General features: G+C 53.1%; 1 long non-coding RNA gene across 1 annotated transcript in view; it reads right to left on the bottom strand.

Moving 5' to 3' along the window:
• LOC150935 (uncharacterized) overlaps positions 1 to 12,370 on the bottom strand; it is a 37,805-nt gene that overhangs the window by 24,985 nt on the left and 450 nt on the right. The gene's annotated exons all lie outside the window — the stretch shown is intronic.

Below are 12,370 nucleotides of genomic sequence, written 5' to 3'. Positions count from 1 at the left end.
AGATGGGCTTTGTGGTTTTGGGTCAAGAAATGAGACAGATGAGTCTGTTCTGCACAGTTTTAGCGTGCTGTCAGAGAAGCTGGTGTGGCTCTGCACCTACACACGTTCCAGGGAGCCTCCGTGTCACGTCCTTCCCGCTGCCTCCAAAGGGCAACACGGCTTCAGAGTCATGTGGCTGACGGGTCCAACAGCTCTTCCAAAAGCAGGTTTTCCCTTCTGCTCATGCAGGAAACCCAGTCTCTTTTCTTGGGCTGGGAGCTTCCGAAGAGGGGTCCTCTCTTTTCAGGGCAGCTGGATGACAGCATTCAGGTGCTTCTTGGGAGATGGAGGTAGAAGGAACGGGGACGACTCCCTTCATGAACAGCTGAGAAAACTGAAATAGTAGGAATATCAGCTCTGGACCCAGAACGCAGGTCTCACCCTCTGTTCCTTGTTCTGTCACCTTTCCCTTCTTTTCTCACCCACATCAGAGCTCACGCTGGCTTCCAACTTTCCCCGTTTTCCCATCCGGTTCTGTGCGTGGCACACCCAAAACCCAAGACTCACTGGTCTTGGCTCTGGTGTTCCAAGGGTCCCAGGCACAGCCTCCTGCCCTCTGGGAGGTTTCCTCCTCCCCCTTCCCTCTGCTTCTATGTTGGGTCAGTCTCTGGCACCTCACACCCAGCCTCCTCTTCTCTCCCTGCTTCCAGTTCCACGGGTGACCCATCCATCCCAACCTTGGCTCCCCACTACGACAGAACTAATCTTCCAAAGCCAGCACCTTCATTGTGCCAAACTTCTGCAGCAGCCTAGAATCTCTCCTGAGGACCCCAAGTCACTAGCGAGGTGAACAGTACTCTGTTCACCTCCTAGATCCCAAAATCATGTCCTCCTAGCACCTCAGAATGTGACCTTATTTGGAAACAGGGTCTTTGCAGATGTAATTAGTTAAGGATCTTGAGATCGAGTCCTCCTAGATTTCAGGTGGGTCCTGAATCTAATAACCAGTGTCCTCATAAGGACAAGAGGGACACAGACACAGATGTGACATGGGGGCAGAGACCGGGGCAATGTGTCCACAAACCAGGGAATATCAGCAGCCACCAGGAGCCAGAGAGAGAGGCATGGCACAGGTCCCCCAGAGCTTCTGGAAGAACTAACGTTGGAGATACCTTCATTTCTGCCTTGTGTCCCCCAGAACTGTAAATAAATCCATTTCTACTGTTTTAAAGACTCCCTGGTTTGTGGTACTTATCTATACTGGCCCCAGGAAACTAACACTGATTACTTAGGCTGGACAAGAAAGCCAAGGTCTGCATCGGCTAGCCAACCTTCAACACCATCGGGCCATTCATGTGCAAGCCTTAGGGACAGAGTCTTAGCCCTGTCCCCCCTCGACACCATCCCACCTGTGACAGCATCCTGGCTCAGCCCTGGGGTCACAGCCCAGCTCTGCTGCAGGAGCCTTCGGATGCCCACAGCAAACAAGCCTACACTTGGAGCTTCAGGCATCATTGTTCCTTTGAGGACTCCAAGTCTTGCTTTCAGCCTGGCCCCTTCTCCAGGCAAGGCCCTCATTTTAAATTCCTGCAAGGACTTCCCCGTTGGAGACTCTGTGACAGTCATGCCCTCCTTCCATGCCAGCGCCTCTTCCTGTCCCGGGGGTCCTGGAAGAGGCATTAATGCAAACACAGTCTGCCAGACTCCCGGGTCAGGGCTGTATGGAGCATCCATCGGGAGATGTGTCCTTGACTTTAACCTGAAAGCGTGGATGGCTCCTGTCAGCCATTCACGCTTAGGGCGAGGAAACACCTGTTACAAAGGGAAGCTCTGATGCCTGCTAGAAACCACTGTCCCTATAGCCCTGGGAGGCAAGTTGAGACTCCAGCCTCCTTTGCTCCATGTTTAATAGTTTTTCATCTTCTCTGATCGCCTGTGATAACTCTGGCTTGATGTCTTGATAGAAAAGGTGTCTAAGGGCCCTAAAGGACCTCACCAGTAGGGTAGGGATCCTCTTGTCTGATGAGCCTGTGGCTCGGGCTGGAGCTGGCAGCTGCCTCAATGCAGAGGCTACATCTTTGATCAATATCTGAACTTAAAGGTAGGAGTCTTGGCAGGGGTGGAGCCCACGCTGTAGCCTGGCAGGGCTGGGCCAGCAATGACCTCCCAGCTCAGTGGACACTTCCTGTTAAGTTGAGCAAATGGGCTTTGAGTGAGGGAAATTACTAATGGGAAACATAAAGAACCGAGACTGTGTCATGGTGACAGCTATGGCTGGTGCGGAGGCTTCTCGTCTCTACAAATGAAATATGCTGTCAGGAAGGCCCTGCCTAGCACTTACTACTGGCCCCACACAGCCGTAAACACATTGCAGGGTTTAACTCATTTCATCCTTCCAATGACTGTTATGCAAGGAGGAAATACTCTGATCCTCATTTTACAGACAGGAAAACTAAGGCACAGAGTAGCAGTGGCAGAGTGGGGTTGGATGCAGCCAGTCCAACCCTGAAGTCCACACCCTTCACCACTGGGCTCAGCACTGGGATATTAAGCCAACTCCACACAAGGTTGGGGCAGTTGGGGATGTACCTGCAGGACAGAGGCAGCCCTGCTCTACCAGACAGTGGGATGCAAGCTGCTGTGATAGATAAACCTAGAAACCTCAACCGCTCAACGCAATGAGATGTGATTCTTGCTCCCATGAAGTCCAGTCAGTGGTGGCCGAGCTCCAGGCACAGATGTAGATGCTGCCGTCTTGAACCCCTGGCTTCCGAGGTCTCCCTGAGCATGGACATCCAGCCAGCAGTGGAAGGAGGAGAGGAGGAGGGAGGAAAGGAGGAGGGAGGATGGAGAAGAGATGCTTTGGTGGAGAGAGAGGTGACTATGGGCCAGGCTTGGTATGGTGGTCATGACCTCTGCTCATACTCCAATGGCTAGAATGAGTCACATGACCACTCCAATGCTCAGGGCTGGAAAATGTGGCTTGAGGGGCTTGGTGACTGACTGGGTGGTTCTGGTGGGCAGGTTTTCAGCTCCGTGCACCTGAGGCTGGTGGTGCTCCCTCCTTAGCTGCCAACTGTCTCCTGTCCCCTCCCTGCATTGTCAGTCTGGACCAGGACAGTAGCATGGAACTGTGCAGAGGACATTTTGGGGGAAAAAGACCCATTCCTGGGTCTGTGCAGTGGGACCATGGGGTCACTGTTTTCTGCAGTGGGAGGGGGATACTCAGGGCTACCTCTCCAGGCTTTCTTTTGGTGGGCTCTGGGACACTCGTCTCCCTTTGATTACCTGCCCCTCACTTTCCCTGTGAGATGGGGTAAGATGTCATGACCCAGTTTGAGATGTGGTATGAGCCAGGATGCTAGGTTGGCACAAGTCCTTTCACCAGTATGCCCTGCAGCTGGGCAGATGAAACCAGAACCCAGCAAATGAAATGTTCCTTTGCTGTTGTCCCTGGGTACTCCTGGGGACTTGCAAAGGAGGAGTGGTGTCTAGAAATAACAATAATGATTATGGTAAACAAACTTGATTGAGGGTTTCATTGACAGTGTTCTAAAAACTTGACATGTGCCAATTTGTCCTCCTAACAATGATATGATAAATATTAATATTGTCTCCATTTTACTGGTAAATAAACTTGAGACACAGATTTGTTCATATAACTAGTAAGCTTCATGGAGGAGCTTTAAACTCAGACAGTCCAACTGCAGGGCTCACACTCTGACTGTGATTTCCTTGAGCCCTGCAAATGACATTATTCAATAGGAAAAATGTTGCTCTCTCACTCCTACCAATTACACTAACAAAGCAGTATTTTTGGTTTACCCTGCATTTGTGAAATGACATTCTCTTGACTACTTCTAGAAGACCCAGGTATCGTTGTTTCTGGAGGCAGCCTGTGAATTCCCCAGCAGTCAGGGATGGTTTGATCCTTCTGTCCCTCCTGACCATCTGGAGAAGACAATCTGGAGATTGTCTGATCCGTGCAGGTTCATGGGGTTCTGGAAAGTGTACAGGGGAATAAGCCACAGAGTAAGAGAGGAGGGGACAGTCAGCATGAAGCTCCCTCAGGGGACCAGGGTGCAGGATGCAGCAGGAAGCCTAGGGGTCTTGGTTGTATGATTTCTATAGAGTCACAGACAGGCAGATTGCCTGCTGGAACTAAATTTTAGACACATTTTGACTGACTGAGCATTATTTTTTAGAGTTCAGATTGATTTAATACATTCAATAATCTAGAAATCCTGGTTTCTCTTGATAAACCAGAAGAGCTGGCCACATTAGGTTCAATGTTCCCCAGGACAATAAGCTGGGTTCACACGGCTCTTTGGGTGGGGACTGTGTACTGCCAGTCCCTGCTGACTGGGCCACATCCAATTGTTGACACCAGTTGGCCAAGCCCCTCACTGCAGACATTATGATCTGGGCCCTTTGGTATGGGGGCAGCCAGGTTCTGAAAACTGCTTGGGGAGGGCGTAGTTCTCAAATTTCTAATATAGATTAATGCAGTTGAATGTTTGTGATCAATCTCTCATAGATTTAATCAATAACATGAAGTCATATGTAGTTGTGTGGGTCCTACTTTACAGCCACAAAAGATCAGCTGTTTTTAGAAACTGTGAAAACTTATATCTTAATAATATATTTTTATGAAAAAGGTAGTTCCAGGAGTTCATGTCCCATTTTACACCTGCAGTTAACTAAGTCCTGCAGGCTCACAACCACTTCTCAGGGGATGTTGACGAAAATGGTATGGCCAATTGGTGTCAACAACTGGATGTGGCCCAGTCGGCAGGGACTAGCAGTACACAGTCCCCACCCAAAGAGCACCTAAGAGTCGTGTGAACCCAGCTTATTGTCCTGGGGAACACTGAGCCCTTTGTGGCCAGACCTTCTTGTTTATCAAGAGAAACCAGGATTTCTAGATTATTAAATATGTACTATCTACACTCTAAAAAATAATGCTCAGCCAGTCAAAATGTGTCTAAAATTTAGATCCAGCAGGCAATCTGGATCTATTTTTCTGGACCCACTCTTCAAATGTGCGCTCTAGGAGAGGGTCATGGCGGCGTCCACACTTATAAAGTGGACAGAGTTCAGAACAGCATTTGCCCTACCAAAGCATTTTTCAGGTGACATAAGGTCCACGGCCGTTTTCGCTAAACTGGATCCCTTCATTGTGTTTCAGGTCTATTTATAGCACCGGGAAATGCTGATGAGGTCAGTGCTCACAGGTGGGGCTGGAGACTGAAAAAGCACTTTTCCACCTGCAGGGGAATCTGAGCCTCCCAACACCTGTCAAGTGAGAGAGAACAGCTTCCACCTGAGACTCCTGGATGGGTGTGGGGGCAGGGGTGGTGAGCTCTGAGCTCTGGCCTCTGTCTGAAGGCAGCTGCAGAGGGGTTTTTGTCATCCTACCTCTGCTGCTGTGACCCTGAGGGACCCAGCGATATGACCCAGGAAGCCCAGGTGGCAGGGAGCCCTGGCCCCCTGCTCTCAGTCCCTCAGAGGCCGATGGCTCAGCTCCCTTCCTGGAGGGGGCAGTTCTGCTCCAGGCTATCTTTGGGCGGGACCTGAATTGAGTGAGACCACCAAGGCCATCTCTAACTGGATTGTAACATCTGCTGCCTCACTGCGAATGCCAGGGCCAGGGTGTCATGGGAAGATGCTGACTCTGGGTTTTGTGTCTGAGATGGCCGGAGCAAGTGATTGCAAAAGGCCATTTACCATGCTCACCCTCCACCGTTGACTGGGTCTCTTGGAGTGACATGGACAGTGTTGCGGTGACCAGTAATCAAATGCATCTTCTGGCCGGCCTGGCGATGACCCGGCATGCTGTCTGTCCAAACCCTGATGATGGCAGGTGTCAACCGAGACCCTGCACTCTGCCCCTGCCTCTGTGCCTCACTCTGGCGGGGCAGCTCCGAGGGGCTATGCAAGGGCCCCTACCTGGGCAAGACCTCTGCAGAGCCCAGCCCCAGCTGGCAGGGGTGTTCATGGCATGGAGTCCCCTGCCCGCGGCAGACAGCGATGTCTCCTGGCACCAAGGCCACTGCACCTGCGGTTTCAGATTCCTTCCCTGTCCCGTCGCTGGTGTTGTGGGTGATTTATTTGCTGCTTGGCAGAACTCAGCAGCCCTTAGGAAATGGATGTCAGCTTATTGTGTTTGGGGGAGGGATGGATATGTACTTTCCGCTACATAAACTGGAGGCTTCCTAGCTTTACGTCCGTCTGCCCACAGGCTGTGTTGGGAGCCTCGGCCTGGCCCTCACCCACTCACCTTCTTCATGGTCTTTGCCTGCCAACAGTGTCTGCAGCCTTTCCAAGCCCCAAGTTCATGAAAACGGCCCATAGTAAGAGATATTTGTTTTAAACATGAACCTGGATTCATTGTCATCTGATATTAGAAATCTGAATTCAAAGATTTCCTGGTGCGATAAGGAGAAGATGAGGCTCTCCTCAGGCCTGCTCTTCTTTGTTCCTGGCTGGGCACGTGAAGGTCTCAGCTCTGAAGACAAGGCTCTCCTCATGCCTGCTCTTCTCTTTTCCTAGCTGGGCACGTGAAGGTCTCAGCACTCACAAGACATATCTTCTCATGAATGACCTTGTGTTTGGGACAAGCAACAACAACACTTGGCTGGGTGGATGGAGCCCAGAGTCAAGAGATGTCAGGGAGACCTTGAGGCCAGGAAGGCCATGGGAGCGGCCTCATAGTCCCGAAAGTGCTCTGGTGCAGTGAGCTGTCCTCTGAGATGTGCAGGATAAAGGGAGGTAAAGGGAGGGTGAAGATGGGGGTGGCCAGTAGCCACAGGGTTATTTGATGTTGAATGTCTTGCTCCTTTGGTGGTGCGCGATGCTTGGGGAGTGCAGACACTCGCAGGCACCCTGGGCCCCACTCCACAGCCCGGCATATGTGCTGTCGACAAAGGCCCCATACACCTTTCCCCCCATCAGCCAACAGGCTAAACCTCAGAGCCGGGGCACGTGCGGGACCTGGATCGAGGATGTGTGAGGGACTGACTTTGCCGAGCCACCGTCCAGCCCAGGATGGGAGACAGTTGTCTCCTGGTTCCACTCAAGATGCTGCGTGATGCCAGACCTGACCGTGACCCTCACCACAGGGGGCCCAGGCTGCCACCAGGATGGAGAGTGACTCAGGAAGGCAGGCCACCCCCTGCTAACAAGACTCGGTCACTGCTTTGGGAGAGGTGGGCAGTGGCCCTGGGAGGAGAGGGTGGGGTCCGGAGCATGGACCAAGGACATCAGTGGGAAGAGGTGGGAGGTAGGACTGTGTGTGGACCCAGGCTCCACGCCTGGAACATGTGGTTCGGCCTCATTGGATTGTGCTTACAAAACATAGACTAAAGAAAAAGTGACCATAGGTTGCAGGGGCAGGACTGCAGAGCTCTGAACCCCGAGCATGGAGCCCTTCTGAGCATGGGTGCCAGCGCTCGCGGGTCAAATGCCCATAATGCTTGCCTGGTACCTGATGAGGTTTGGATATTCACCTCTCGTCCACGAAAAGTGCCACTGGGAGAGACAGAGCGCACGCCAGCGTGCCTGGGGCTGAGGGTAGAATTGGGGGCTGAGAGCAAGCAGACTCGAGAGGATTTTGAGGTGATGAAAAGGTTCTAAAACTGGAGTGTGGCAATGGCTTCACAAATCTGTAAGTTTACCAAAAAACATGCAATTGTATGCTTGCTCACGGTGGGGGAATTTTATGGCATGTAAATTATACCTCAATAAAGCTTTAAAAATCACACTGCTGGGCATTCAGAATTTGCAGAGCAAATGGTCAGCCACGGGGCTCTGCCTCTGTTCCCTCTTCCCTGCCTCGGTTTCCCAGTCCATGACATGGGAGAGGGATTTCTAGAGAACCTTGTGCTCTGCAACTCTGGGCCTTGTTAGCACCAAAGCCGCTCCCAGCCAGTCACTCCCAGGAGGAGCGAAGGCCATGTGGTGCCTGAGGTTGGCCCAGGAGAGGGGTCTCCTGCCCCTGGGAGGAGCACCAGGCAGCGACCACTCCTGTGGTTGTTCTGGAACTGTCGCCCAGCCTCCCGAGCTGTAGGTGACGGCAGGCTGAGGGTGCCCTATGCCAGGTAGTGCCCGGAGCCATTAAAGCACAGCATTGGTCTCAGTGCACCTTCTCCACCACCCAAAAGCTGCGCTTGTGGCCGTGGTGCAACCTCATAGCCCGGGCCCGTCAGGCCTGGAGCAGTGTTGAAGCTTCACATCCCATTCCAGGTGTGGTTTCCGGAATGCATCTGCTACAATAAACCCCTGGGGTTCAAATAACCGCCAGAAACATGGCTCTGTGTCAGGGCTTGCCATTCCAGCGTCAGTACCGAGTGCTCACTGCTGTGGGAGCGGCAAGGCAGGCGGGGAGCCCTAGGCCTGTACAGCTGCTAACCGAGCTCCCTCGCAGACACAGAGGCCCCGAGAGTGAAACCGTGAAACTGAACACAGCAGCCAGTGGGTAGGAGATGCTCAGCGCAGCTCTCCGTGCCTCAGCTCCCTGCAGAGATGCAGGAAAGCGGTCAGGTGTGGACCCTGCCCAGGGTCTCCCCAGAGGCCTGTGGATCTTCAGGCTTCATCCAGAACAGGTGGGGTCCCTAAGCCAACCTCCCCCAGCCCTGCAGGCACAGGCACCTTCACACAGAGGAGCAGAGGGAGGGAGTCAAGTTGGAGAGGCTGAACTTCTCCCTCATGGGCTGGTTGGCATTGATGCCACGGGCGGGATCTGCAGTCAGTCCGGGGGCTCCTTAGGGAGACCGGCTGTGCTGGGAGACGAAGACACCACTCCTGCCACATCACCTTGGCACGCGAGTGTGGTGGGGACAGATTTTCATCCCCACTATCAAGCACGTGTCACATGAATATTCAGCCACCAAAGGTATGGGGGAAAATTAATGGATTCTGATTCATCTGGAAAGCTCCCTTCCCCACTGACAATATCTTCGATTTTTTTTTTTTGGTTTATCTTTGCCAATGGCCAGCATGAAGTTAGTTAAACTAATATGAAAATATGGACATGCCCTCCTTGAGCCCCTGGGGAAAGACTGGTCCCAACGCAGCCCCCACCATGCCCCTGAGTGCACGCTGTCTCGTGGGAGGCCCTCAAGCTTCCCTGAGTCCTGACCCAGGTGAGTGGGCACCAGCGTCTTCCATTGCACACAGCGTTTCTCCTGAGTCCAGATTCCCGTTTTCTCTGGAGACTGCCAAAAAAATGTCACCTACAGCATCTGCCTTTCTTTTCTTTCGATTGAACTGGCTGTCCCCAGCAGATGAGTCTGCGGGAGCAGATGGGAAACTGACGGAAAGCCAGGGAGGAGGGGGAGGCAGGGTGGCCGGACACCTGGAGGCCAGGAGTTGGCCACTGCAGGGCACCCCTGCCTTTGTGGGAAGGAGCCTCCTCCCTCGAACCCTGCAGCCCTCAGCATGACTCAGAACACGCAAGTTTTCCCACTTAGAATTGCAGGGTGTGCTTCTGTGCTAAGGTGGCCACAGCGCACATGGACGTGAGGACTCAAGCACGGCCCAGAGTCAGACTACACTCTCCACCTCCCATCACCATGACCGCCAGCTTCTCCAACAAAAGGTTCTGGGTGCTGGCGAGGTCCCCAGGGCACAGCGCTGGGTGTGAGAGTGCACAGGCAACTCTGATACGGCCCTGCCCTCAAACAGCTCCAGGATGTGTGGGGAGAGAGACATCTGGACACCAGTAACATGTTTCGGTGGCACGGTACTCACAGGCCCGCCAGCCTCCAGCCTCTCTGCTCCATATGGGGTGCGGCTGTCCCTGGGACGGTCACCTACAGAGGCCAGCAGTTGGCAGGCCATCTTCATCTGAGAGGCAGGGAGCAGGACGGAGGGAAAGGCTGCTTTGAAATCCTGTCCCTTCACCCAAACCAAGGACACTTGACGATAAAGCAAAGCTCCCTAGGAGCGGACGCTTCAACCTGTCTCCCCAGGTACCTCCCTGTGCACCCCCCATTCAAACCTGCTTCCCATGGGGATGCCTGCAAGGACACACTCTGAAAACACATCCCAGGAGATGAGCGGCAGTGTGAAACGACCCTGCCCACGAGGGTAGGCTGCGTGTCCAAAGGAGACCGACTGCCCTGGGCTGCTGGGCAAGAGAGTGTGAAGGCTCTGAATCGGCATGCAGAAGGCACTCGGTAAGTGCTAGAGGAACTTGAATCTGCCACGTGGGGATGACAAGGTGCTCTGAGCATCTACTGCTGTGTAACACATGACGCCTGAACTTGGTTGAAATAACAACAATCGGTCACTGAGCTCACCAGTCTGCACTTTTGGGGTGAATGGGGCTGAGAGACAGAGACAGAAAGGGAGAGAGAGGGGAAGCTGGCCACGTTGCTCTGGGAAGACATGTCTGGGCAGTCCTCCCGTCATGGCAGTGATGGTGGGGTATGCTGGTCAGCTGTTTCTCACTAGAGAGAAGAACCCTTTCGAGAGGCCTCCCTCCCTTTGGCCAGGTCAAGAGCTAAGGCTGAATGTTACCTGGCATGCTGTGAAGTCCCATGGGCCTGTGGCCCTGCCTGACTCTTGGGGAGCCTGCAGAAGTGAGGAGGGGTGAGCAAGAGGACACCAGGAGGAGAAAGATCAGTTCGGGGGAATCAGCACCAGGCTGGAGGGCAGGAAGAACAGCCGTCCCCACTCTCCACTTAGGATGGCCAGGCCTAGAGCCTGCAAAGAGGTCAACCCTTGAAATTCAGAAGTCCCAGGCCAGGCTGCTGGCTCTGAACCTCACATATGAATTCTCCTGAGCCACTCCACATCCCTGAGACTCAGTTTCCTCATCTAGGAAAGGGTTAATCACTGCACTTTCTTCCCAGCTTGGGTGAGTGGCATGTGATGCTCGGGGCCCCGCTGCATGGCATGGAGACCCCTTTTCTGATCGTGAGATCATCTTAGTTTCCACGCAGCCATGTATTTTGTCCCTCACGTTCGCACAGCCTAAGATTTTGTCTGTTACCACCTACCCTTGAAAGGCCGGTGAACCTCAAGCCTCTTCCGTGTGCACCTGCAGCTGCAGCCTGAGTTGATGGCAGGGCCTGCTCTGCCCCCAGGCAGCAGTGGAAAGGGCCAAGGGTCCTTCATTTCCACACCTGGGTACTCCCTAACCCTACAGGATGGATCTTTTTTTTTAGCAACTGGGGCATCTAAGAAGGAAGTACAGTGCATAGGAGGAAGAAGTGACCGGTGAAGCATCTCAACTTCATATGCTATTTGCTAAAGGCCTTTCTGCAGCTGTCTCTGGATAGGAGGGCCCCATGTTCTCCAGTGGACGTGTGTGTATGAGGAGGTCCCCATTGGACTCAATCAGATCACAAAGAGCAGGTGGCTATACCTGCAGACTTTACCTGTGGGGTCACTTCTGTGGGCTCTGACTTTGGCACACCTAGGATGACCTTGCTGGGGACCTGGGAAGAATGCCAGGGAGCTGCAGAGTTCCTTTCTTGCCTCTTGACTTGTGAGCTGGACAACAGGCCCTCTGTGCCCAGGATCCATGGGGCTCCTTCACTGGGCCCCGATGGGCAGGTCACAGAGGGTCTCCAGAAGAAGCTCTCACCCTTCACAGGAGCTGCCATGAAGGGCAAGTGACACAGTGTGCAAAAACATTGTACAAAGCAAAGCAGGCCGCACAAATCCAGAAAATGTGGAGAACAGGGGGCTGCCCAGGAATTTGGTATCATTTGTAAGTAAGACAAGAACTGCAAGTTCCAGGAGGTGGCGGTGTGCTTGGCAGGCGCCAGGCTGTGATTCTCTGACGGGTCTGATGGTGCCTGAGGCCGTCCTCAGAGGAAGGGCCACCTGCTCCATGTTAGGGAGAGAAAGCACTGCCTGCACCCTGGGAGCTGATGTTATGCCTAAAAGAAACGCACACAAGCAGAAGTGTCCTCGGGCAGATTCTCCCTCACTACAAACATCTTTCAGCCAAAGAGAAATTCTAGTTGCTCTAAGGGCAAAATCTGCAGAGCCCGTCTGATCGCTGGCATTGCTGCCACCTTCTCATCCTGCCATGCAGCCCTTCCCGTTGCACCACCCTCTCTCCACCTCTGTCACCTGACAGGCCCCACTTTCCAGGAGCCCCTCAGCCAGCGGGATTGCACTCTCAATTTCACCGCTGGGCATTCCTAATGGAATTCTGCTTCTTTTCCATTTCTTTCCAGGCCTCCTTTTATCCATGAATCTTAAAATTTCCAAATGATTTAGCTAGTCCTTGGAACGGAATCCCTTGTATAGAAGAACATAACAGCTCAGAGAATAAAGACAAGTGGCCAAAGCCACAAACAAAGCTAAGGGCTGAATCGTGGCTGGAATTCAGGTTTCCAGGCCAGACCCTTCTTTGCAGCTTGGAGGAGAAGGA

Source organism: Homo sapiens, chromosome 2, assembly GCF_000001405.40.
Source record: "Homo sapiens chromosome 2, GRCh38.p14 Primary Assembly".
In the NCBI taxonomy this organism is placed as follows: domain Eukaryota; kingdom Metazoa; phylum Chordata; class Mammalia; order Primates; family Hominidae; genus Homo; species Homo sapiens.
This window is presented reverse-complemented; position numbering and strand designations above follow the sequence as displayed.